This window comes from Homo sapiens, chromosome 5 (assembly GCF_000001405.40).
Source record: "Homo sapiens chromosome 5, GRCh38.p14 Primary Assembly".
Taxonomy (NCBI): domain Eukaryota; kingdom Metazoa; phylum Chordata; class Mammalia; order Primates; family Hominidae; genus Homo; species Homo sapiens.
The window spans coordinates 93,675,980-93,703,626 of NC_000005.10; the positions used below are offsets into that span (position 1 = coordinate 93,675,980).

The 27,647-nt window shown below is 36.7% G+C and overlaps 1 protein-coding gene and 1 pseudogene across 21 annotated transcripts in view; both read right to left on the reverse strand.

Moving 5' to 3' along the window:
• ARB2A (ARB2 cotranscriptional regulator A) overlaps positions 1-27,647 on the reverse strand; it is a 493,975-nt gene that overhangs the window by 58,255 nt on the left and 408,073 nt on the right. For 2 of the 21 annotated variants that reach the window (XM_011543671.4, XM_047417811.1), the window contains exon 11: positions 7,132-27,388. The exons of the other annotated variants lie outside the window; for them this stretch is intronic. In XM_011543671.4, the coding sequence (XP_011541973.1) occupies positions 27,381-27,388 (8 nt within the window). In that variant the 3' untranslated portion in view covers positions 7,132-27,380. Of the gene's footprint in view, positions 1-7,131; positions 27,389-27,647 lie in introns of those variants that run through there. 21 annotated transcript variants of the gene reach the window in all.
• On the reverse strand, positions 6,540-7,754 carry NPM1P27 (nucleophosmin 1 pseudogene 27; annotated as a pseudogene).

The following is a 27,647-nucleotide window of genomic DNA, read 5'->3' on the forward strand; positions in this document are numbered from 1 at the left end:
ATCAAACTTGTTTTGGTATATAAAGCTTTAATTTTGTTTGCCCTTTTCAGCTGCACTTGTAAGAAGCTCTGTACTGATTAAACAGGAAGTCTGGACAATAATATGCTACATTATGCATATAATTACTGTAAATACAACCAAGATTGTAGAAACATCATTTAAGGTTAGGCACTAACATGAATGGAGAAGGGGGTCAAGAAAACACATTTGGAATCAATTTCTTTCCATTATGACCAAGTACAAGTATCAAGAAAAAAAAAATGCTGTGTGACACACAGTGATGTCATTACAGCACCTGTTCCCCTGAAGACATTTTACATTCTGGCTTTTCATGTATTCATAAAATCTTTCTTGTTATTTAATTAGTAGAGTACTAAGTTTTATAAGCTTTGTTTACAAACATATATTAGGGATTTTAAAGCAAACTGGCACCACATTGTTTATGCTTCATTTTGCAAGCTTTCTTGCTGGTCCACTGAACGTATGAATGATAATGTCAGAAAACAAAACTGTTTTTAATCGAGTTTTGGCTGGATTTTAAATTATATCTTAACCTATAATCATGATTTCTTCATTCTGAACAATGAAACATGAATTGCATATTCTGTTCACTCATATGAACAAATACCATAGCGGGGCGATTCCTCATTGTACAAGGAAGGAGCCTAGATAAAATGAACTCCTAAGACCTTTTCAACTCTCTAGTTCACATTTTAAAAATCTGAAATTATTCTAATATAATTCTTAAAAGCTGCTAAACAAATATGCCGTATAAGAAATCTTGTTTCCAAGAACAAACTTTAAGCTCCAGGAGAGCAGGGACCATGTATCCAGCTCACTGCTGCATCACCAGTGCCTCACAGAGGGCCTCACATTTTTGGTGCTCAATGACTGCTTGTCGGGTGAAGGAAATGAAAGCAGTATGGGTTCTCAATTTCCCACGCCATGTCACGGTGCCAGATTGGACACTGTGTTTTCCTTCTGTAACCTCAATAGGATGCAGTCATGTTATCTCATAAAGATGTTGACAAATATCATCATCCTACGAATATCTGGCTGAAAGAATAGTATGGAGAAAAGGGTGCTTTCCTAATTATGATGACCTGCAATGATCTGCTATTAACAACAATGAAAAGTAAAACTTCCCCATCTTTTATGCAGATTCATAACATATTATCAAAATGTCTAAAAGATAAAAGTTAAAACTCAACTGCCAGCTCTAAAAATAACAAAGTTTGAAAAGTGGTTTTTGGAAATCACATGATGCACAAAAGTTCATGTAAAAAAAATTAAAGATACAGATACTCAGCATTGAGTGACTCTCTGACTGTCTTAACAGTATACACAGATGAGACCAAGATTCCTATTCTGTCTCCCTCTGTTAAGGGCTGTAAAACTCAAGTGGGCTGACTTCAAGCTTCTCTGAACTTTGTAGGCAGCCAATATAAAAAACGCTGAGAAGGCGTAATCTGATCATAGCCGCTCAGGCAAGTGAGCAGGCGTGCTGCCACATTCTGCTGCCCACAAGCAGGGAAGCACGGCTGGAATCCCCACTAAGATCAAATTACAAAATAATCAAGCTTTGTGGCCAGGCAGGCACGAGAGGCTATTGTGAGGTCATGAGATACATCAGGGACTAGCCTGGACAAAACTGGGCAGTCAAAAATAACATTTTTGTATCCCACTTGCAGCATGGTTCTCTGCAAAAATAAACTGTTAATGATGTTCAGTTTTTTAATTCAGGAAAGGGCAAATGGCTCTCCCTGCGCAAGCTCCCACCAATTGAGCCTTATGCTTAGGGATAAGCAATTAAACCCTACACATCAAAGAAAAACTGAGCTGTCCAAAATGGAATTTAGCCAAGGAGAGACCAAACTGGGCCTTGGTCCCTGTCCTGGGGATCTCAGTGCTACTTCTACCTCTTACCCACTGTGTAGCCGAATGTTTATGTATATCAAAATAACAACAGAACAACTGAGTGGATACTGAGTGAGCATGATCGCAAAGCACATTGAAAATGCTTAAAAGACCCAAATGTGTTTTGAGAGGGTAGCACATCTTGGGTCAAGAGAGCCATTCCTAGAAATAATCCCATTATGCAAAAAAAGCAGCATATTCTTTGGGAAATTCACTGATAAGGGATGGCTCTAATATGGCACCAAATCCCAGACAATACTGTTTGTTATACAGAGAAGTGTTAACTTTTTTATATGGTTCCCAAAGCTGAACCTACTATAGAAATCGCATTTTAGTTCCTGAGAAGCTTCAACATGACTGTCTGTATCGTATCAAATGTAAAAGACAACAAAATTATAGAATTCAGTTATCCTTCCATCAGAAGAGATATATAAAATTCCAAGTGAAGATTTCTTAGGAAAATAGCAGGACACCTAAGGAACTACTGTTTGGTAAACTCTTGCTGGGGCAATCATAATCAAGGTGGGCAGAAGAAATATTTCAAAGACAACAAATAAACAAGCAAAAATCTAAATGTGGCCGAGTGCGGTGGCTCACGCCTGTAATCCCAGCACTCTGGGAGCCCGAGGTGGGTGGATCACTTGAGGTCAGGAGTTTAAGGCCAGTTTGGCCAACATGGTGAAACCCCGTCTTTATTAAAAATACAAAAATTAGCTGGGTGTGGTGGCAGGCGCCTGTAATCCCAGCTACTAGGGAGGCTGAGGCAGGAGAATCGCTTGAACCCAGAAGGCGGAGGTTGCAGTGAGCAGAGAGCGGGCCATTACACTCCAGCCTGGGTAACAGAGCAAGACTTCGTCTAAAAAAAAAAAAAGCAATATAACTGAGGTTTTTTCTAAACAAAAGTAATGAGCATACTAACAAGTTAATGGCAAGCCATTTTGTAAATATTACCAACAGGGACTTCAAAGAAACACTTTGAGATGGTCCCATGTGAACTGAGGATTGTGTGTTGGTTTTCACTTGTTTCCTGATACACAGATGAATTACCATCGGCAATGTTTTTCTTAGACATAAAAACCATATACCTATTTGCACACTACAAATTCAAAGAGTGCTTTTAACGTAAAAAGTGGAATATAAGTGACTATGAAGTTCATAACAATTTCTAAAAAATGAAAATAAAAGCATAAAGTAGTTGCTTTCTTTAGATAGGGAATCTTATAAGAGATATGAAATTCAACATCTACTGTACTTTAAGCCTATATCTTATTGATAATTTAAAATTATAATTAGTGTTCTTGGGACTGAATGCTACATAGAAAACTAAATATGCACATATGTATGAGATGTGAGATGCTGCTGCAGGAGAGAAATACCCTATTTTTAAAGCAAAAAAAAAAAATCTTAGTGAAGTCTATCCTTTCATTTATATGTCTCATGTAAATTACACATAATTTTAAATCTTCAACACGTCGAAAATGTCCAGGTCTCATGGCACTTCTTTATTATCTTCGATTTTTCACTTGGCCATGGCAATGGAGGCTTTCTAGAAATATTTAGGAATTAAAAATGATATACTTCAAATTGAACTAAGAAATGACCACTAGACAAAAATTAATTTTTATTTATATAATCTGGTTAAAAAATATATGATTTTTCTACTCTAAAGGCATTTTCTTATGCAGTAACACCACAAAAATAGCTTAAGTTTAAAATAGTGGATTTCCCATATGGTTAGTCCACAGCAAGATAAAGTTGTAAATGAGGGGACTATGTGAAGAAAACATAAAAAAGCCTTAAGGGCACATGCAAAAAATGTGATATTGCATGATTTACATACACAATTTTATGCCCCAAAATTCAAAGAGAAAAACTTAATATGTCATAACTTAAACTGTATTTCATATAAAGTATTCCTGATTACGTATTTAACTCAAAGATACATAACTCAATTTAGAGCATAATGTGGGAGAGGAGTTAGTAAGAATCTAACCTTTTGCATTTCTTGACTTTTTTGGGCTTGTGGTAATGTTGTATTTATAGAGATTCTACACTTTCAAATTTAAGTCTTGAAATGTCAAAAAAAATCCCAAAGCTGAGATCTCACAGAAGGTGATTTTTAACAGTCCTTAAAAGTAAAGACTTATGATCTTCTGACAACTGGAGCTTTCACATTTTAAGATTTAAAAATTTCAGTCCTAATATTACATAAGCATACACATCGACACACTTTCAAAGATTCCATCATCTTTGATAGGCCTGGAACGAAGAGGAAAATAAGAAAACAAAAAGTTGTGAGGTTCAGGAATACTGTTTAAGTATAAATATAAAGAAGTAAATACTTAAAAACTCTTGTGTATTTAAAGGTGGTCTCTTATAAGAATATATTTCCAATGTAAATCACAACATCTAGTTAATTTTTGATTATTTGTCATAATAAAAAATGGAGATTCCCCCAATATTTTAGAGTTATAACTAGAAGAAACAGAGTCTCAGAGAACTTAAGTGATTTGATCAAGATCATAATTGCTAGTTAGTTTTAGAGTTATGTCTGGAATATACCAAGTATCTTGTCTTCAAGTTTCTCCTCACTCTCATAGCTAAAATTTTCAACATAATTCTTGGAATTCATTTATTTTCAATGTATCCTGCTATCATCCATGTAATTACAGGTATGCCACAAACTGTTTAGTTTTCTCATCACTTTCAAGTCAACAAGTATTTTTCTACCACCTACTATCAGCCAGATTTAGAGATTACAATGATGGTAAGACAAAGGTTAATCTGATTATTGGGTATTTTATGGTCTCATGAGGGAAAGAGGATTGGCAAACAAGTATCATTAAAGGCACTACTTAATTTGACCAGAAAGGTGTCAAAGTCAAAGGTAACATTCGGTTTCTGATTACCAAGATTAAAGACAGGGTCTGGACTAAATGATGTCTCAGTACCTTTCTAATGAAGTTTTGAGTTTTATCTTTCCCTTTCTTCTATTGTTTCTTAGATAGATTTATAAATAAGTAGGTAATTGATAAGACCAAAATTTCCAGTAATTTCAGTGGAACACAGTGATATGTTTATGAATAGGTACACAATGAACAAAGCCTTTTATCTGCAAATAAGTTTGTGAAATTATGGATTTCTCTGGCACAGGCCTTTAATGTGTTAATGTGTAGTGTATCTCCAAGAAGAAGATTTTATATGTAATGTTTCCTTTTTTTTCCAGTCAAGAAAAAAAAATCCCCCAAATAGGTGCTTTTATTACTATTTTGAGCTCTCAGAATTACTATTCCCAGTTGTATAGTTTGGGAAACACGAGCTCCAGACTGTTGTAATATTCTAACTGGTCTTCTGAAACAACGCGTCCTACACATGCACTGGCAAGATAATCCCCCTAAAGAGTTGCTTTCATCAAATTTCCCTGTTCCAAAACCTCCAGTGACTCTATGTGGCCTATAAATTAAACTTAAAACTCTTTAGACTCTCTAGAGATACTGCTTGTAAATTTCTCTGTAACTTTTTCTCTCACAGTTTCCTTAAACTCCAGTCACAATGCTGCTGAGTTTACTGTCGTCTGCCTTAGTTCCCACCCACTACTTTTCTGTGCCTAGAATGCCTTCCCCTCTCCACAAAATTACCAGTTACTTCTCTGATAAAACCCAGTTTGGGCTCTATCTTCTCAACAAATTAGCACAGTATGCAAACTCTAAGCTACCTGAACCACATTTTGTAAAATTGTTATCTTTTTTATTGCTATTTTTCTTTTAAGTATATATTTTCTGCCCCTTGTGGCTACATTGCATAAGTTCACCGAGGCCAGGCACAAGCCTCGCATTCCAGAATTTAGAATATTCTTTTGTACTTAATAGTGTCATTTTAAATGATGACAATGACAAGACTACTGATGACAAAGTAAAAATAAGAAGAAAAGAGAGGAATCTAAACCAGGAGTCCAAATGGTCATTTACAAACCAAATACAGAGTGGTTTACAAAAATATTAACTAATTTTTCCAAATGTCAAATGGTAACTGCTCAGGCAAGAGCTTTCAATTTTGATTTCTGACATATCCTAAATGTAGAATATAAGTGAAATATTTGGTAAATATTGAAATTCCATTATTTAATGTTTTCTTCATTTAAATTCTCTTAAGTGGCTTCAGCTTATTTCACATAAAGAAATAGCTTTAATTCAAAATGAGATTTTTATCCCAATGCAGAAGGTTTAAATTAGGAGGATGATTCAGTAACAAATACTCTAAAATATTACCTGTTATAATTAATAAATTTGGCAAAACATCAAAGTACTAAATAGTTTGTCCCTTAATTTTAGGATACAGTCTAACTTAAAAAAAAAAAAAAAAAACATTTCTCACAAGCCATTTGATCTTGCCCACTGGAAAAAATGTGTGTGGCTTACTAATATTTGTCATTGCAATATTAGTCCTGAAATTTGGATAAAATTTAACTTCAGATAACACAAGGTCTTGGTGACTTCCCACCTTGTAAAAAGTCCCAGTTTTTAGATATAAAATTTCCCTGAATTTCTCTTTTTCTAGTAACTGAAAGAAAGGAACAGCTCTTGAATAAATTTTGATTAGGCAAAAAGTTTTTTTTTTTTTTTTACTTTATTAAAATACTGAGTTTTATTTCACATGTATATTTTTGTCTCCCCACCATTTCCATGTCTGACCACCGCTAGTACTATGTCCTATCATAACATTCCATACATACTTAAAACCAAGCAAAGGGTGGAGTTGATCTTTAAAAACTAAACAGGCATTTTGGACAACACATTCTTGGCAATAGAACCTGGACAACATTTATCAAACACGGTAGAGAAAGTTCTCACTCTGCATTATAAAAAGGACAGCCAGATATCAACTGTTAACAGAAATGAAATAAGACGGAAAATTTTTAACAAATTGTTTAAACTATTTTCTTAAAGAGACTTCCTCCACTGCCAGAGATCTTGAATAGCCTCTTGGTTAGTCATCCGGAAGCAATTCTTCACATAATTGATGAATTTGGCTTCCACTTTGGGAAGAGAACCACCTTTTTCTATACTTGCTTGCATTTTTGCTTTAATGTCTTCTACAGAACTAGGTCCTTTTGGTGTTTTAGGAGTTTTTTCCTGTTTTTTGAAGGATTCTTGTCCTTTTGATCTTGGTGTTGATGGTTTTGAGTCTTTTCCATTCTGATTTGACTTTTGTGCATTTTTGGCTGGAGTATCTCGTATAGATTTCTTCACTGGCGCTTTTTCTTCAGCTTCCTCATCATCAAAATCATCATCATCATCATCTTCATCATCATCCTCTTCATCATCATCGTCATCATCTTCATCAGCAGCAAGTTTTACTTTTTTCTGTGGAACCTTGCTACCACCTCCAGGGGCAGACCGCTTTCCAGATATACTTCAGAGTTTCACATCCTCCTCCTCTTCATCTTCTGACTCTGCATCTTCCTCCACAGCTACTAAGTGCTGTCCACTAATATGCACTGGCCCTGAACCACACTTCAACCTTAAGACCACTGGTGGTGTTATTTCAAAGCCCCCAAGGGAAACTGTTGGCTGTACAGACATTTTCAAAGTTGCCAGTGTTACTTTAATTGGACTGCCTTCGTAATTCATGGCCTCTGCTTCAACAATGTGCAGTTCATCCTTTGCACCAGCCCTAAACTGGCCGTTCTTAAGGATAACTGGCGCTCATTTTCATCATTATCCACCTTAAAGTGATCATCTTTGTCGGCCTTTAGTTCACAACCGAAAAGATAGTTCTGGGGCCTCAGGGGGCTCATGTCCATGTCCATCGAATCTTCCATCGGGTGGCGGCACGCACTTAGGTAGGAGAGAAGGCGGACGGAGATAAAACAACGCTGCTGCAGAGAACAGCCGCGCAGGACGGAATCACACCAGGCAAAAAGTTTTTTTTTTAAAGATATATATTTTGAACCAGAGATGAAAATGAATTCTTTTTAAGATGTAAAAATAACATTACCCTTTCTGAATATACAGTATGTATTTTTAAAGAAACTGTATTATATTTCAATAGTTTAGTAATTCTTGTCAATGTTATTAATTACTTTAATTATGTCTAGTACTTGCATTAATACGTGCATACTTTCTCCCTTTTTACAAAACCTCTATTAGAGGCTCTGGAAGGTGTAAGCCATGATAGCAATGACCGTGTCAAACTCTTTTTCTCTGTAACTCAGGGCCTAGGACTGTGCCTGGCACATAGCAGACACTTGATACATATTTGTTAAATAAATGGGTAGCTGGAACATATGCTCCATGAGGAAAATGAATGTATTTGCATGTTGTTAGTTAGGAATCTGGCCCTGGGAGTCAGAATTGCAGTGTTTGAGTCAGGCTGCATTATTTCCTAGCTGTGAGAGCTCTCTAAATCTATTCCCTCACTTGCAAAGTGGAATGATATTAGAATCTGACTCATATTGTTACGTGAGGATTAATCGACATAAATACCTGACACATGGGTAGCACTCAATACAGGCTAGCTGTTATTATCATTATCAACATCATCACTATCTTCTTCATTTTTCTTGTTTACTACTTATCTCCTGTTTTAAGCACATAACATATGCTCAATAAAAATTTGTTAAATAGAGAAATGAATCAATGAAGTGTAGCTTACCTGTATACACAAATATGTTTTGCTACCCTCAGTATACATTTTGTCAGGATTCAGACAAATAGTAAAAAATTTTAAAGCACAACTTAAAGTTAGTGTGATTGAGTTTTATTTATTTGAATCTGTTTTTAAGAGATCCAGTCACACAGTCCCTTGGAGAATAGAGTTCTTTTTATTTCCTTTTTGAATTTCTGGTATATGTAACACAGATGTTTGCATCATTTGTACTAAAAAACATCCTAGTTAGCAACCAAGTCACATAGGTAAAAATTAAAACAAATGACCACAGACTAAAGAGGGGGTAAACAGTGCCACTCTCATGATATTTAACTACTTTATCTTAACAAACCAGTTTGTAGCATTTATATTTGTTACAATATTGCTGTACGTTGAAGTGTTATAGTGAGGATCATTGCTTTTACACCTTCTAATTTAAAACTTCAGTTGAAATTGTGCAAGTAGCAACTAAAGAGTTATATTTCTGTAAAGTGCCTCATTGTGAGCAGACAACAGAAATAAGTCTCAGGTCATATGGCTCTGAGGTATTTAATTCATCAATGACTTACATCCTTTTAGATCTCATGTTTGTAATATTTCTCATCAGAAATGTCCTATATTAAAGAGTACTGATATGTTTTCTAATTTATTTTGAGCTTCACTCTGCAAAGATGCTATCAGATTATAAAATAGCCTGGTTATATTTAAGGCTTATATTAGTTTTTTTAAATTTATAAAATCAATGTAAACTTTAGCAGCAAAGAATTTAGGTTTTCTCTTTTTAAAGACAACATAAGTAATGAATAATTAATTTGAGTGGGTGAAGAAAGGAAGGATAAAAGACTCTGATAATAATCTTAAATTCCTCCATTTACTTGTTTACATTCTTTGTACAATTATTTTCCATTTCCACTGTATTTTCCAGACTGAAAAAAAGTTAAAAATCTTATAAAATATTCACAAGCCCTTCCTCTTCCCCATGACATTTCCCACCAATGTACTGAAAAAAAGAACTGCAAGTTCTAAAAGCTGATTCTCTAAGTGAGTGGTTCTAAAAAATCTTAGCTGTTAGTTTGTTCACTACAAAATAACCAGAGGGTGCTTAAGCCTCACCCAGGATTTACTGCTTCTCATGTCTTGGTGACTGAATGGACACATGTGTCAAGGTGAGAGGAAACAGAACTAACCAGTATTTGCTCATCTATCTAATCCAACTTCTTTCTATTTTCTTCTCTCCTTCCTTGCCTCTTTCTACTTTCCCAGGCCTTGAGTATGGGCTTCTTATATGTATTCCCAACCCTTCTGGGGTTCTAGAAACAAGTTCATGTTGAAGCTGCCTGGTCATTTATTCTGGACCAAGGCTGCCAAAATTCCAAATCTTAACTTGAAAGAAATACTAAACAAATACCAATTTTAAAGCATATATAAATCATCTCCCTCTAATATAATAAAGGCAAAAATGTACTGACTATGTGTTAGGCATCAGCTAAGTGCTTTACATATATTATTAGCTGCTATCACATATTAAAAAAGAACCCAAACACAAATATTTTTCCAGAAGCAAGTGGAGGTGGGGAGGGTGGTATTATTCTGATTCTGACTTCATTCACATTTTTTGATAAACTGACTTTTTATTCTTTAGTAACTGGGGATGAGTCTCTCAAAAATAAATAAAGGTTGACAAAGGTGTTGGTGAAAGAAGTCTCAGATATTCAAAAGATGCTTCTTTCTACTCAAGTCCAACTGTAATCCTGGGAGTCTTCAACATTCCCATGAATAACCTATCCAAGGGTCTGACTGCTAGATTCCTTGATCTACAATGCCCCTTTCTTCCAGTCTATTTCACCTGCCTGTTCTTGACATTTTACTCTGGACATTGCAGCATTCTTTTGAAACAATAAATTTAGACATTCCCCCAATTTGACCACAACCTCCTATCTTTTTAACCATCTTACTAAAATAATTCCCTTTCTTACCTTAAAAAAAATCTTTACGGCTTCCAGTCCATTTATCCTTTCCTTTCTTCCTATTAGCCCTTGTTTTGTTTTCACTTCTCAACCTTTGCTGGAAGATCATGGTCCAACATTTCATTGTGTTTTCCTAATCTGCTAGGCCCCACTGTCCATTTAAGGTACTTGCCTGAAACACTCCAAGGTTGGATAAACCCAGCTGACTGGCTTGTCCCTGGCTAACAGATTGTTGCTCCTACAAACAAATCATCATCAACCACAACTCAGCCCTCAACATTGTTCAGCCATTGTACTACGTAATTCTAGACAACTCTCCAAATGTTATCATTTAAAAGTTAAAAAAAAATCATAAAGGCACTAAAAGAAAATAAAAGAGAACATATGCATAATTGTGGGGAGGGACTTATGGCATGACAATAAGAGTGGAAACTAAAAAAAAACTGCATTTTTGGCTACATAAAAACGAAAAACGTTGGCTTAGAAAAAAACCTTAACAAACTCCATAAGCAAAGCAAAAAGATAAAAAGGCAACTAGGCAAAAATGTACCACATACAATAAGGACTATTATCCATCATATATAAAGAACTCCTACTAATCAATAAAGAATTGACAAAGACTCAATTGACAAGAAAGACCTGGTAATGTATGAGATAAATATAAATGGTCAATAATTAATAAAAATATGCTCAACCTCACTGCTTACCAAATAAATACAAATTTAATTGATTTTTTGCAGAATAACAAAGATTAAAATAACACTTAAGACATAAATGTAAACTTGTATAACTATTTTGCAGAACAATTTGGCTATAATTTTCCAAACTAAATACATGTTTACCTTTTGACCTAGAAATTTCACTTTTTGAAATTTATTTTACAGAAACACTAGCAAAAATGTACAAAGATACTTACTTCAAAACTGTTAATATTAGCCAAAAAAGGAAGAAAAATGAGTAACTTTCAATAGATACTGTCCAATGGTGGCATAGTCAATTAATTAAATGCAATATGGTTGCTAAAAAGAAGAAAGTTGTATCTACATACTACTACATGAAAAATATCCAAACTAAAATAGGCAATATGTACATTTTTTTGGTAAATAGAACGTATTATTTTTATAATTGGAAAAAAGCAATAAAAGGAAAATCAAGTTATAGGACAATGTGCATATGAGTCTGTTTATTTGGAAGTCTGTGCACACTGCTATTAATAGAAACAGATTATTTCTCAGGGGTGGTATGCTTAGGGAATTTAATTTCATCACTTGAATTTTTTTTAGAATGGCCATTTTAAAATAAAAAATGTAGATATTTTTATTTGTAAAACGAAGCCTAACTTACATTCTTCACTTTTTAAACCTCAGATTGCAATCTTCCCTTTTCTTTCTTCACCTGGTCTCCTACTTCCAGGCAAAACCAAAATTTATCAGAATGGAATTCTTTAACTTTTCTTTTCTATTCTTTTTTTTTTTTCTTTGAGATAGAGTCTTGCTCTGTCACCCAGGCTGGAGTGCAGTGGCATGATCTTGGCTCACTGAAACCTCCATCTCCTGGGTTCAAGTGATTCTCCTGCCTCAGCCTCCCAAGTAGCTGGGAATACAGGCGTGCGCCACCATACCTGGCTAATTTTTGTATTTTTAGTAGAGACAGGGTTTCACCATGTTGGCCAGGCTGGTCTCAAACCTCTGACCTTAGGTGATCCACCTGCCTCGGCCTCCTAAAGTGCTGGGATTACAGGCGTAAGCCACCGCGCCTGGCCATTCTTTAACTTTTCACTACCAAATCTGAAGACCTGTCAGCATTAGGCTCGTGCTCCTTCTTTCTAAAGGCAAATTTTCTCCCAAATTAAGCTCTCAATCAAATCCTGCCTTATCTTCAAACGCATTTCCATTCTATAGCCTAATTATCTGCATCTTCACATTCGGACTAGCTATTTATACAATTTATAATCATTCAGGTCTCTTTCATCTTAAACAAATAAACTAAAACCTCTGTTGATTCCTCCTTTTCTTCCAGTTGTTTCAAAAGTTTTCCTTTCTCCTTCATAGTCATTTCCTTTTCTTTTTAAAAAATTGTGTTTATTTATATAATAATCTCTCTCCCGAGCCTCAGCCAATATATTTAATAGTTTAGTGTCCATTTCTACTTGGAGGTTTTGCAGGCACCTCAAACTCAGCATGCCAAAACTGAACTCATCATTCTCCTAAAAATATTTTCTCTGTTAATGAGAGGCATCCACACAATTGCCCAAACCAAAAGCCTGGACACCAAACTGATGCTTCTGCCCTATTACCCATGAAAGCTGATCAATATTCAGGACCCACTGAGTTTCCTAAATAGCTCTCACATCAAATGATTTTTTCCATCTCCACTGCCTCATCCAGGTCATCATGATTTAACCAGCCTTGCTTTTAGTCCTGTAACTCTCTTAATCCATTACCCTTATCACAGCTAGACTGTTCACTGAAAAATTCAAATCTAATCATATTATATTCCCTTTCTTAGAATCCCTTTTCCAAGTTTTTACAAGGCTGAGAAAGCTCTCCATGACCTGGCTCCTGCTTATTTCTCTAGGGTTATTTCTTTTTATTGTCCTACCCTCATACTCTATTCTCCAGCAATACCGGACTTTTTTTCGGTTGTCAAATGTACCACATATTCTCTTGCCTTTGCTTGGAACTCAAAACAATTTCTGTGCCACCACCCTCATCCCCTACACATAATTTTACTCTCACTGACCTGGAATGGCTAACTTACATTTTTTGGGCCTTTACTTTTCAAGAGCAGGGGCTGTACTTGTTGTGAAGGTTGTGTCCTTAGCACCTAGTATAGAACCTGGCACATGGCAAGTGCTGAGTGGCTGAATATAAGTGAAGGGTATTATATAAAAAACTGGCATTAAAAGGGCTGATGAATTGTTAAAAGTTTTACTGCCATCACCAGACTAGGCCAAGTTAGTTTCCCATACTGCTAAGACGCAGCATTCTCCTACAGATCTGACCGCATAACTGAGGAAGATATTTATCTGGAGTCAAGCCAGTCCTTAGACTCACCTTTTGCTCTTTTCTTTTACCTTCAAATCCAGCAGAAATGGGTCAGAAATGTGGATATGTGGCAGATATTCAAAATTATTTGTCTAGAAACAAAATTAAAAGTTTCACCCTAGAAAACTTGTTTTCTCTCTTTTTTTTTTTTGAGACGGAGTTTCGCTCTTGTTGTCCGGGCTGGAGTGTAATGGTGCAATCTCAGCTCACCACAACTTCTGCCTCCTGGGTTCAAGTGATTCTCCCAGTGAGATCAATGCAGAAGGTGGGCGATTTCTGCATTTCCAACTTTGGTACCCAGCTTATCTCACTGGAACTGGTTAGACAGTGGGTGCAGCCTATGGAGGGTGAGCCGAAGTCAGGTGGGGCATCTCATCTGGGAAGCCCAAGGGGTTGAAGAACTCCCTCCCCTAGCCAAGGGAAGCCATGAGGGACTGTGTTGTGAGGAATGGTGCATTCCGGCCCAGATACTACACTTTTCCCATGGTCTTCACAACCTGCAGACCAGGAGATTCCCTAGAGTGCCTATGCCACCAGGGCCTAAGTTCCAAGCACAAAACTGGGCGGCTGTTTGGGCAGACAACGAGCTAGCTGCAGGAGTTTCTTTTCATACCCCAGTGGCACCTGGAATGCCAGTGAGACAAAACCGTTCAATCCCCTGGAAAAGGGGCTGAAGCCAGGGAGCCAAGTGGTCTAGCTCAGTGGATCCCACCCCCATGGAGCCCAGCAAGCTAAGATCCATTGGCTTGAAATTCTCACTGCTAGCAGAGCAGTATGAAGTTGACCTGGGATGCTCCAGCTTGGTGGGGGGAAGGGTGTCCGCCATTACTGAGGCTTGAGTAGGCAGTTCTCCCTTCACAGGATTAACAAAGATGCCGGGAAGTTCAAACTGGGTGGAGACCACCACAGCTTAGCAAAGCTGAGGTAGCCAGACTGCCTCTCTAAATTCCTCCTCTCTGGGCAGGGCATCTCTGAAAGAAAGGCAGCAGCCCCAGTCAGGGGCTTATAGATCAAACTCCCATCTCCCTGGGACATAGCACCTGGGGGAAGGGGTGGCTGTGGGTGCAGCTTCAGCAGAATTAAATGTTCCTGCCTGCTGGCTCTGAAGAGAGCAGCAGATCTCCCAGCACAGCACTTGAGCTCTGCTAAGGGACAGACTACCTCCTCAAGTGAGTCCCTGACCCTGTGCCTCCTGACTGGGAGCATCTCCCAGCAGGGGTTGATAGACACCTCATACAGGAGAGCTCCGGCTGGCATATGGTGGGATGAAGCTTCCAGAGGAAGGAACAGACAGCAATCCTTGCTGTTCTGCAGCCTCCGCTGGTGATACCCAGGCAAACAGGGTCTGGAGTGGACCTCCAGCAAACTCCAGCAGACCTGCAGCAGAGGGGCCTGTTAGAACAAACAGAAGAATAGCATAACATCCAAAAAAAGAACGACCACACAAAAACCCCTTCTGAAGGTCACCAACATCAAAGACCAAAGGTACATAAATCCATAAAGATGAGGAAAAACCAGTGCAAAAAGGCTGAAAATTCCAAAAATCAGAATGCCTCTCCTCCTCCAAATGATCACAACTCCTGGCCAGCAAGGGAACAAAACAGGATGGAGAATGACTTTGACAAATTGACAGAAGTAGGAGTCAGAAGATGGATAATAACAAACTCCTCTGAGCTATAGGAGCATGTTCTAGCTCAATGCAAGGAAGCTAAGAACCTTGAAAAAAGGTTAGAGGAATTGCTAACTAGAATAAACAGTTTAGAGAAGAACATAAATGGCCTGATGGAGCTCAAAAGCACAGCACAAGAACTTCGTGAAGCATATACAAGTATTAACAGCCAAATTGATCAAGCAGAAGGAAGGATATCAGGGATTGAACATCAACTTAACGAAATAAAGCATGAAGACAAGATTAGAGAAAAAAGAATGAAAAGGAACAAACAAAGCCTCCAAGAAATATGGGACTATGTGAAAAGACCAAACCTGCGTTTGACTGGTGTACCTGAAAGTGACGGGGAGAATGGAACCGAGTTGGAAAACACTCTTCAGGATATTATCCAGGAGAAATTCCCCAACTAGCAAGACAGGCCAACATTCAAATTCAGGAAATACAGAGAACACCACCAAGATACTCCTCGAGAAGAGCAACCCCAAGACACATAATTGTCAGATTCACCAAGATTGAAATAAAGGAAAAAATGTTAAGGTAGCCAGAGAGAAAGATCAGATTACCCATAAAGGGAAGCCCATCAGAGTAACAGTGAATCTCTCTGCAGAACCCTACAAGCCAGAAGACTGTGGGGGCCAATATTCAACACTCTTAAATGAAAGAATTTTCAACCCAGAATTTCATACCGAGCCAAACTAAGCTTCATAAGCGAAGAAGAAATAAAATCCCTTACAGATAAGCAAATGCTAAGAGATTTTGTCACCACCAGGCCTACCTTACAAGAGCTCCTGAAGGAAGCACTAAATATGGAAAGGAAAAACTGGTACCTACCACTGCAAAAACATACCAAATTGTAAAGACCATCGACACTATAAAGAAACTGCATTAACTAACGGGCAAAATAACCAGCTAGCCATCATAATGACAGGCTCAAATTCACACATAACAAGGTTAACCTTAAATGTAAATGGGTTAAAAGCCACAATTAAAAGACACAGACTTGCAAATTGGATAAAGAGTCAAGACCCATTAGTGGGCTGTATTCGGGAGACCCATCTCACGTGCAAAGTCACACATAGGCTCAAAATAAAACAATGGAGGGATATTTACCAAGAAAACAAAAACAAAAACAAAACAAAACAAGCAAACAAAAAAGCAGGGGTTGCAATCCTAGTCTCTGATAAAACAGACTTTAAACCAACAAAGATCAAAAGAGACAAAAAAGGGCATTACATAATAGTAAAGGGATCAATGCAAAAAGAAGAGCTAACTATCCTAAATATATATGCACTCAATATAGGAGTACCCAGATTCATAAAGCAAGTTCTTAGAGCCCTACAAAGAGACTTAGAATCCCACACAATAATACTGGGAGACTTTAACACCTCACTGTCAATATTAGATAGATCAACAAGACAGAAAATTAACAAGGATATTCAGGACGTGAACTCAGCTCTGGACTAAGCAGACCTAATAGACATCTACAGAAAGAATTCTCCACTCCAAATCAATAGAATATACATTCTTCTCAGCACCACATCATACTTATTCTAAAACTGACCATATAATTGGAAGTAAAACACTCCTTGGCAAATGCAAAAGAATGGAAATCATAACGAACACTCTCTCAGACCACAGTGCAATCAAATTAGAACTCAGGATTAAGAAACTCACTCAAAACCGCACAACTACATGGAAACTGAACAACCTGCTCCTGAATGACTATTGGGTAAATAACAAAATTAAGGCAGAAATAAATACATTCTTTGAAACCAATGAGAACAAAGACACAATGTACCAGAATCTCTGGGACACAGTGAAAGCAGTGTTTAGAGGGAAATTTATAGCACTAAATGCCCACAAGAGAAAGCAGGAAAGATTTAAACTCGACACCCTAACATCACAATTAAAAGAACTAGAGAAGCAAGAGCAAACAAATTCAAAAGCTACCAGAAGACAAGAAATAACTAAGATCAGAGCAGAACTGAAGGAGACAGAGACATGAAAAACCCTTCAAAAAAATCAATGAATCCAGGAGCTGGTTTTTTGAAAAGATCAACAAAATAAATAGACTGCTAGCCAGATTAACAAAGAAGAGAAGTATAAAGAATCAAATAGATGCAAGAAAAAATGATAAAGGGGATATCACCACTGATTTCACAGAAATACAAACTACCACCAGAGAATACTATAAACACCTCTACACAAATAACCTAGAAAATATAGAAGAAATGGATAGATTCCTGGACACTTACACCCTCCCAAGTCTAAACCAGGAAGAAGTCAAATCCCTGAATAGATAAATAACAAGTTCTGAAATTGAGGCAGTAATTAATAGCCTACCAACCAAAAAAAAAAGTCCAGGACCAGATGGATTCACAGCTGAATTCTAGCAGAAGTACAAAGAGGAGCTGGTACCATTCCTTCTGAAACTATTCGAAACAGTAGAAAAAGAGGGAATCCTCCCTAACTCATTTTATGAGGCCAGCATCATCCTGAGACACAACACAGAAAAGAAAACTTCAGGCCAATGTCTCTCATGAACATCGATGCGAAAATCTTCAATAAAATACTGGCAAACCAAACCCAGCAGCACATCAAAAAGCTTATCCACCACGATGTAGTCTGCTTCATCCCTGGGATGTAAGGCTGGTTCAATAGACGCAAATCAATAAACATAATACATCACATAAACAGAACCAATGAAAAAAAACCACATGATTATCTCAATAGATGCAGAAAAGGCCTTCGACAAAATTCAACACCCCTTCATGCTAAAAACTCTAAAAAAATTAGGCACTGATGGAATGTATCTCAAAATAATAAGAGCTATTTATGACAAACAGCCAATACGATACTGAATGTGCAAAACTTGGAAGCATTCCCTTTGAAAACCGCCACAAGACAAGGATGCCCTCTCTCACAACTCCTATTCAACACAGTATTGGAAGTTCTGGCCAGGGAGATCAGGCAAGAGAAAGAAATAAAGGTATTCAAATAGGAAGAGAGGAAGTCAAATTGTCTCTGTTTGCAGATGTCATGATTGTACATTTAGAAAACCCCATCGTTTCAGCCCCGAATCCCCTTAAGCTGATAAGCAACTTCAGCAAAGTCTCAGGATACAAGATCAATGTGCAAAAATCACAAGCATTCCTATACACCAATAATAGACAAACAAAGAGCCAAACCATGAGTGAATTCCCATTCACAATTGCAACTAAGAGAATAAAATACCTAGGAATACAACTGACAAGAGATGTGAAGGACCTCTTCAAGGAGAACTACAAACCACTGCTCAAGGAAATAGGAGAGGACACAAACAAATGGAAAAACATTTCATGCTCATGGATAGGAAAAATCAATATGGTGAAAATGGTGATACTGCCCAAAGTAATTTATAGATTCAATGCTATCCCCATCAAGCTATCACTGACTTTCTTCACATAATTAGAAAAAGCTACTTTAAATTTCATATGGAACCAAAAAAGAGCTCACATAGCCAAGACAATCCTAAGCACAAAGAAAAAAGCTGGAGGCATCACGCTACCTGATTTCAAACTATACTATAAGGCTACAGTAACCAAAACAGCACGGTACTGGTACCAAAACAGATATATTGACCAATGGAACAGAACAGAGGCCTCAGAAATAACACCACACATCTATAACCATCTGATCTTTGACAAAAATGACACAAACAAGCAACTGGGAAAGGATACCCTATTTAATAAATGGTATTGGGAAAACTGGCTAGCCATATGCAGAAAACTGAAACTGGACCCCTTCCTTACACCTTACACAAAAATTAACTCAAGATGGATTAAAGACTTAAACATAAGACCTAAATCCATAAAAATCCCAGAAGAAAACCTAGGCAATACCATTCAGGACACAGGCATGAACAAAGACTTCATGACTAAAACACCGAAAGCAATGGCAACAAAAGTCAAAATTGACAAATGGGATCTAATTAAACTAAAGAGCTTCTGCACAGCAATAGAAACTATCATCAGAGTGAACAGGCAACCTACAGAATGGGAGAAAATTTTTGCAATCTATCCATCTGAGAAAGGGCTAATATCCAGAATCTATAAAAACTTAAACAAATTTACAAGAAAAAAACCATCCCACCAAAAAGTGGGTGAAGGATATGAACAGACACTTCTCAAAAGAAGATATTTATGCAGCCAACAAACATATGGAAAAAAGCTCATCATAACTGGTCATTAGAGAAATGCAAATCAAAACTACAATGAGATACCATCTCATGCCAGTTAGAATGGCGATCATTAAAAAGTCAGGAAACAACAGATGCTGGAGAGGATGTAGAGAAATAGGAACACTTTTACACTGTTGGTGGGAGTGTAAATTAGTTCACCCATTGTGGAAGACAGTGTGGCAATTCCTCAAGGATCTAGAACCAGAAATACCATTTGACCCAGCAATCTCATTACTGGGTATATACCCAAAGGATTATAAATCATTCTACCAGAAAGACATATGCACATGTATGTTTACTGCAGCACTGTTCACAATAGCAAAGACCTGGATCCAACCCAAATGCCCATCAGTGACAGAGTGGATAAAGAAAATGTGGCACATATACACTATGGAATACTATGCATCCATAAAAAAGGATGAGTTCATGTCCTTTGCAGGGACATGGATGATGCTGAAAACCATAATTCTCAGGAAACTAACACAAGAACAGAAAACCAAACACTGCATGTTCTCACTTATAAGTGGGAGTTGAGCAATGAGAACACATGGACACAGGGAGAGGAACATCACACACCGGGGTCTGTCGGGGGGTGGGGGACTAGGGGAGGGAAAGCATTAGGAGAAATACTTAATGTAGATGACGGGTTGATGGGTGCAGCAAACCACCGTGGCACGTGTATACCTATGTAACAAACCTGCACGTTCTGCACATGTATCCCAGAATTTAAGGTATCTATAAAAAAACCCACAAACACAATGACAGCCTGTTCCCTGTCATCTCATTCACACTTATAACTTTTATTTTCTTCCTTCTCCATTCACATCAGTGATGCATCTGTCAACCTCCTTTTTTGCTATTACAAATGTTTATGTCACATGTCCTGTACTTTCAAGCCCTAGTTCATGCTGACAACCCTAGTTGAAATAGTCTTCTTCCCTTCTATGAATCTTCAAATCCTACCCATCTTTCAAGGTTCAGTTTAATGGATCTCTCCTTCTCAATCCCTGAACGTCTTATTGGATCTGATGATTAGATAGAATCCCATATTCTCCTAAATTTCTCTATTACTTAGATCAATAGCTCCTTTGCAATCCTCATCCCTCTCTCCTGGAAGTATTATATTAGAGCATGAATGGGGATGTTATTGATTCAATGTGTCACTCATTCTTGGTAATACTTAGATCTTACCATTGTCTTTGAGACTAATGTGGAGAATGCAGTAGTAAGAGATAGAAGTGTTTTTTTTGGTATGAGTCAAAAATACCACAATGCCTGCCACATTCATGGCTCTCCTCTCTTCACATTACTGTCTTTTTTAAAAAGGACAAGTGGCTGGATGCAGTGGCTCAAGCCTGTAATCCCAGCACTTCGGGAGGCGGAGGTGGGTGGATTGCCTGAGGTCGAGAGTTTGAGACCAGCCTGGCCAACATGGTGAAACCCTATCACTACTAAAAATACAAAAATTAGCCAAGCATGATGGTGGGTGCCTGTGATCCCAGCTACTCGGGAGGCTGAGGCAGGAGAATCGCTTGAATCTGGGAGGGAGGGGTTGCAGTGAGTCGAGATTGCACCACTGCATTCCAGCCTGGGTGACAAAGCGAGACTCCATCTCAAAAAAAAAAAAAAAAAAAAAGGTTGGCGGACAAGTTTAGTTAGATCTTCCCGTCGTAGTGAGAAAAATGATAATCCATCTCCCTATTAGCAAGTTTATTTAGTGTTTACTTATCTTCCCATCTGTTCTCTTCTCAAATCTTTTTTTTAATGAGATAGGTTCATCTCATCAGACCTAATAATTACTAGTTTTCTCTTCCCTTTGGGTTTTGACCCTTTCTATATCTCTCCCCTTTATGAATGCTTGGGAATTACATACAATATCTGGCTCTCTTGACCCATCCCTGTAACAATTGCTTGCCTTCTTTAAATTTTTTGTTTAAACATTCTTTCTTATTAACTCATTTTATGACATAATTAAATAGTTAAATAATCTTACAAACAGCAGACTGAATAAAAATCTCACCTCATATATGACACCAAGCCTTTACACTTTTAAAATATTTTGCCCCAATGCAATTCTTCTTTACTTCTTATATAATTTTCTTGTTTAATTTGTTTGTATGATGCCCGCATAATGAATTCAAACAACTAACCACCAAAGTGAAAGTTTAATCTTAATGAAAAAAATTTTTAACAAAAATAATGCAGGGAATTAATTTATAAATCACATTGTTTCTTACCGCTTCAGCACATCACATTTTCCCTGCTGTTACGAGCGCAATGTTGTGTTTTATGCTGTTAACATGTAAAAAATAAACTTTTTTATTGAAATAAAAACCTCTACTAAGCTGGTAGAATGAAACATATTTTAATATAGATATTTTAATTATTCTTAATTAAAGCCTTGCAGAGATCTTGTATTTGTGCTCTATGGAAAGTTCATAACATATTTAAAGAAGCAGTTTGCTTTAGGGTTTAACCCTTTTATAAAATGCCTCTAACACTAGAATCTTACATAACTTGAAAAATATAGTCTCAGACATATATTATTTTATTAAAAAAATGCAATACAGTCCCCAGAATAACCGTTGGAAGAATATTTTGGTAAGAGTGATTTTCAGAATTTGGAGGCTGGGTTAAAGGGCTCAGGGAGGTTGAAGTATGTACCTTTAGCAAGTAAAAAACTGTATATAATTGATCTCAAGACGGAGCCTGAAGTTTTTTGTTTCTAATTCTCTGTTGATTTTCCTTGAATAGTAATTTTGCTTTTGGTTATTTCCAAGTTGGCATTCCCAATGCATTACATTTATTAATTAATTCAACAAATATTTGTTAAAGTGCCTGTCTACCTTGTGCCAGGCACTGTTCCAGGTGCTAGGGATGTATAAGTGAGCCAAACTGACAAAGCTTACATTCTAGTGAGGAGAAGTTGAGGCCAACAAATCATAAATATAACAAATAACTAAAATATATACAGGGCTAGACTGCCATAAATGCCATATAAAAATGAAACAGAACAGAAGAAGGGATAGAAATGCAGTTTCAAATGAGGCAGTCAGGATAGGAAACACCGAGAAGGTGATATTTGAACAAAGATCCAAAGAAAATGAGGGGTGAGCCTGTGGTTATCTAAGGGTAGTTCATTCTAGGCAGAGGCCAATGCAAAGAAGTGGAAATAACTCATTGCATGTCAGCCTCTGCTAATACCAGGAAAGTAATTTAATCGAAGCAAAATTTTACAGATGAACACTCTAATATTTGTGATATTTCTTTTATTACATTTTATTTAACATTCATCCAATAAATATTTACTGAGTACAAACTATATGTTAGGCATTGAAGCAATAATGATTATAAGATAGACACACATTTTGTCCTCATGAAGCTTACAGTTTATTGTAGGTAGGAGAGGCAATAGATACTGCACAGTAACATATGCTATGGTGGGGGTCATGCAGGGTGCCATGGGGGCAGAGAATAGAAGCTCTTCCAGGTTACAGGAGATAGAATTTCAGAGATAAAACTCCTAGAAATTAAAGTCTTTCATTTCTGCTCCCAACAGCACAGTTATCAGAATAGACTGAATATAGAACCAAATAATAAATGCTGTACAACATCCTCACAACATCCTATGTAGTAAGCCCTACTCTTATCAGTTCTCAGGTGAAGGAATGGAAGTACAGAGAGAGTGGCAACTTGACAATAGATACAGAGATAGAAAAGTGGCACAGAAAGGAAACAAACTCAGGCAGTATAGCTTCAGAGCCTGTGCTTTTAACCACTATCTTAAACATACTCTCTGAGCAGCATGCATGTGTGATAATTTGTTAATGAATAAAGCCCTCTAGGTATTTTCTAGCTGCGTATAGGTAAGGCTTGGTACAGACTATCTGAATAGTTTGGTTCGCAAAAAAGTTTTTATCAGCATGACCTAGAATGTGGAAAGACTATTTTTGTCTAAAAATTAAAATCCAATCATCTTATTCGTACTGTGATGTGAACTTCTGACACTGGTATTCACTAACCATTAATATAAAAAGAATGCACTAGGAGCAGCTCTTTGGAATCCCCCCTTCCCTCAGTTTTTTGACAGTTTCGATAAGTGGAGAACAATCTCCCTGTTAATTTGACTGCTGTCTATTGAGTGCAATGGATTTTGCCAAATGTCCAGAGTCCACAAATAAATGTAAAAATCTGTCCTCCCCTGGAGCTTCAGGCTTGTGCTCAGACACTACCTTCACAGTTAGACAACAGCCTGGTTTCTGCTGCGACTGCCAGTAAAGACAACAGGGATGTTCTGTACCAAGTTTCAAGTTACGTGAATTCTAAACTACTAAAAAGTTGTCAGATGACAGCCATTCTAGGTAGAAACGGCACTAGTATACTAGATGAAAAATCTAGATGAGATCAGAACAGAGGCCCAGAGGTCCATGTGGCTGTAGGAGTGGGCTACGGAGCCTTGCAGAACTATGTATTTGCTCTGTCCTGCTCCTTGACTAGTTAGACACCTGGAGATTCTAACTGGGATTGCACAAATTCTATCTGGTGAGGAAATAACATTTTTTGACAATAATAAGTAACACAAATTCCAGGTGAAATTCTTAGAAAGACATAAACGGAAGAATAATTGTATATTTATATACAATTATATGGAAACAGCAGGCTTGGGAATTAGAATCCTATCATTTTTAAGACCATGGATACTTTTCTAATAATATTCTTAGCAGAAAGCCATTGAATGATTTAGCAAATATTGTATGAATTTTTACACTACTTACATGCATATATCTTTACTGTACAACTTGGTTATTTTCAGGTATGATGTACCTAATGTTAGATAACATTGAAGCTTCCTGTCTCATAAATCATCCCTAAGGCAAATCCATCAAAACAGAATATCCTAACAGCTTAACTGATGGGGAGACATAGAATATTAGAGAAAAGTTAGATTCAGGTATACATTTTAAACGAAAAGGAAGAAAAATGATTTTATCAACTGAATTTAGGGTAATGGTAGTTATAATGATAAAAGTAGTCAGAATAGGATAAAGGAATTTTGAAAAAAAAATGGTGATCAAAGATTAATGCTAAATTGAAATAGAATGCCAATGCTATTATCTGAGTGTTACTATCTCCTGCAGCAGAAGGAATCATAATCAATTTTCTATTTATAAAGAGAGTACTACTTATTATGAAAGGAAAATACTGACCAGGCTTATAGAGATGGCAACAAAATGCAACAGTTGTGATTACTAATTTTTAGTTTTATCTTATTCCCGTTTCCTTCAAAGCAGATAAACGTTTCCATATTATGTAAATAACATACAGATTTTAAAATTCAGTAAATAAAAATATATAACAAAATATGTAACTGGTACTCCTAAGTACTTACTATTATCCTGGATAGAACTTTTATTGAGACATTAAAAACACTCTCTCTGTAAAACACTAGATTGCCTCTGAGAGATAAAAAATTCATAAATTTACAATGGTAACCAAATGAAAACGCAGAGTAAACTTTCTAGATGAAAATACGGCTCTCCTAACCAAATGCTGAAAAACAAGAGCAATGTAATATGCACTAGATTCATATTGTGGGGAATGTGTTTGTATCTAATCTAATGCTTGCATACATTATTCCTATGCTTTGAGAACAGAATAACAATTGTAATTTTGCTCTGAATCAAAATAACAGAATCTGTCATTTGACGTGCTGTAGTGTTTGCACTTTCATTATTGTTCATAGAATAATTGTATGCTTCTTTTTACTGTTATTTTGTAGCAGTTTATCTCTTTTAAAATGCTATTCAAATGAGCTTCAGCATGAATCTCAAAGTCAAAATCAGTCACTATGTTTTAGCAGACACTTTCAATACGCCCATACATATACTTACGCATATCTGTTTTGATAAAATGTGATTCTTATATGCATAGTATGTTATTTCACCACAATTTGCATTGTTATAATAGGTTATTGACTGATTTTTCAGTTTAAGGGACTAAGGTAGTATTCAGTAATGAATGAGTGCTACAAGTTTATTGCAAGTGCCCAAGGTTCACTCACCCCAAGCAATTTAGTCAATAACCAATTTTTATAGTTCTATCTCCTTCAAAATTCCAAACCAATAATCCCTGTTTTTTTTTTTAATTATTTCAGTATCAGACTAACATTTCCCATGGAAATCAATATAGGTGCGATCCACTAGCCAAAAATCTGCAGCACTGCAATGCAAACATATTAAAAATATTGATCTTGCAAAGCTACTGATGTTTTGATTGACTTTAATGTTGGTAAGCAGCAATAACAGAATTTCAATGACTGAAACAAACTTTTGATTAAAATTATAGATCTTTTGGGGGGAATTTGCTATTTTACTGGCTTAAAGCATATCACATGGCTTACTTGCCTGCCGTAAATGAGTGCAGTGGGATATACTTATCCAATTCCTTATTTGTAAATATGTAGTCCATCACAGCTTACACATCTTTAATCTACTTTGAACTGCCCTGACATTTCAATTCAACTTCTCATTATAGCACATGGTGGGGTGACGTTTTCAGACTAAGAGTGGCAGGAATTGAGAGCTTTAATCCTTCTTTTACTATTATGCAATCTTTGGGAAGGCATTTTATTCTCAGTTTAAATTCCCCAAATGTAAAAATGGAATTAACCTTGGGAATCAATGAACATTCTTATTACATTTTGAGATCAGTTGACAGTAAAGACCGTAACTTATACATACAAAAGATTATCTGATCCGAAGATATGTCCCTTAAAGGAAGAACAGAATTTTGCAGCCATTTAGTGATCACCTAGCAATGCTCTCATTTTATGTATGAAGAGACTAAGGTCCTAAAAGGTACAGACAACACAAGGAGCTCCTCACTGAGGCCTCTCCTGACCACGCTATATAAAACATACCACTGGGCCCCATCAGGTACTCTCTCACCACTTAGCCTACTGAATTTTTATCCTAACATCACTATCTAAAACATAAACTTTATATGTCGATTTGTCTACCTAGTATCTATTTTCTCTTCTGAAATGTAAGCTCTATGCAACAGAGCTTACATTTGGCTATGAAAAGGAATTTTGCTTATCCTTTTCATAGCCAAATCCCTAGTATTCAGAAAAGTATCTGACATACAGGGGGCTCAATAAGCATTTCTGAATAAATGAAGGAAAGAAGGAGCCAGATCCACTAATGGAAGGGTTGGGTTGGGTAGGGGTGAAGTGGGCTTGATTCTCTTAACTCTCAGTCCAGTGTTGCTATGAAGTCTCCTTCTTAATATGTTCCTTTCACTTCCCTGGGTTCTCAGATGTAAGCATCAAAGGGAATTTGCATCCATATCTATTATACATATTTTTGTTAAAGTTCACAGATATTTTCAAGTTTAAGAGTTTCATTATTTAATTATTAATCCTTCACCTGGATTTTTTCTCCATTTGTTTGCTCTACCTTCCACCACGTTAAAACTGTCATAAATTCTTTATTTTTACTTGTGACATTTTATTGCAATAAAAAGATCGATAGTTTAAATAAAAAATGAAAATTAAAAATGACCCATTTATCAGCTGCTTATTTCATTTCTACCACAATCACTCCCATATAGTCCTTCTGGAAAAGCACCAAGGTATAACTTGCAAATGTGCAGGGACTTTGGCCTCCTCATGAATTTTATTAGTTTTCCCCAAATTACCCTAAACACATACACAATATATTTGTAAGTATACAATACAGCTTGAAGACAAATTCCCTGTTCCTCTTCCAGAGGCTGCTACCATGGCAAACCTTCAGGAACTGCCTCTGGTGCTGCCGTTCTCTGGCGAGTGTCGGCGAAGTAGTGTGGTTTGCAACTATCAGATCTGGATTAGAATCTCAACTCCCCCACTTACAAACCACATGAACCTCTGTTTACTCATCTGTAAAAAAAGATCATAACACCCACTATAAAGGTAAGCTGTTGGGAGCAAATAAGATGCACATAAAGTGAATGGCACAAAGCAGGGATGCAAACAGGGTTAGTTCCCTTCTTACCTTCACACATTTGTGGAAAAAATAGCTAACTTAATGCTTTCTCTTTCTTAGTGCACTGAAAAAGTGTTTAGATATTTATGTGAGATCACTAATGGTTTTTGCGAATCAATAAGAGGCAGAATGGAAGGTAAAACTATTTCAAAG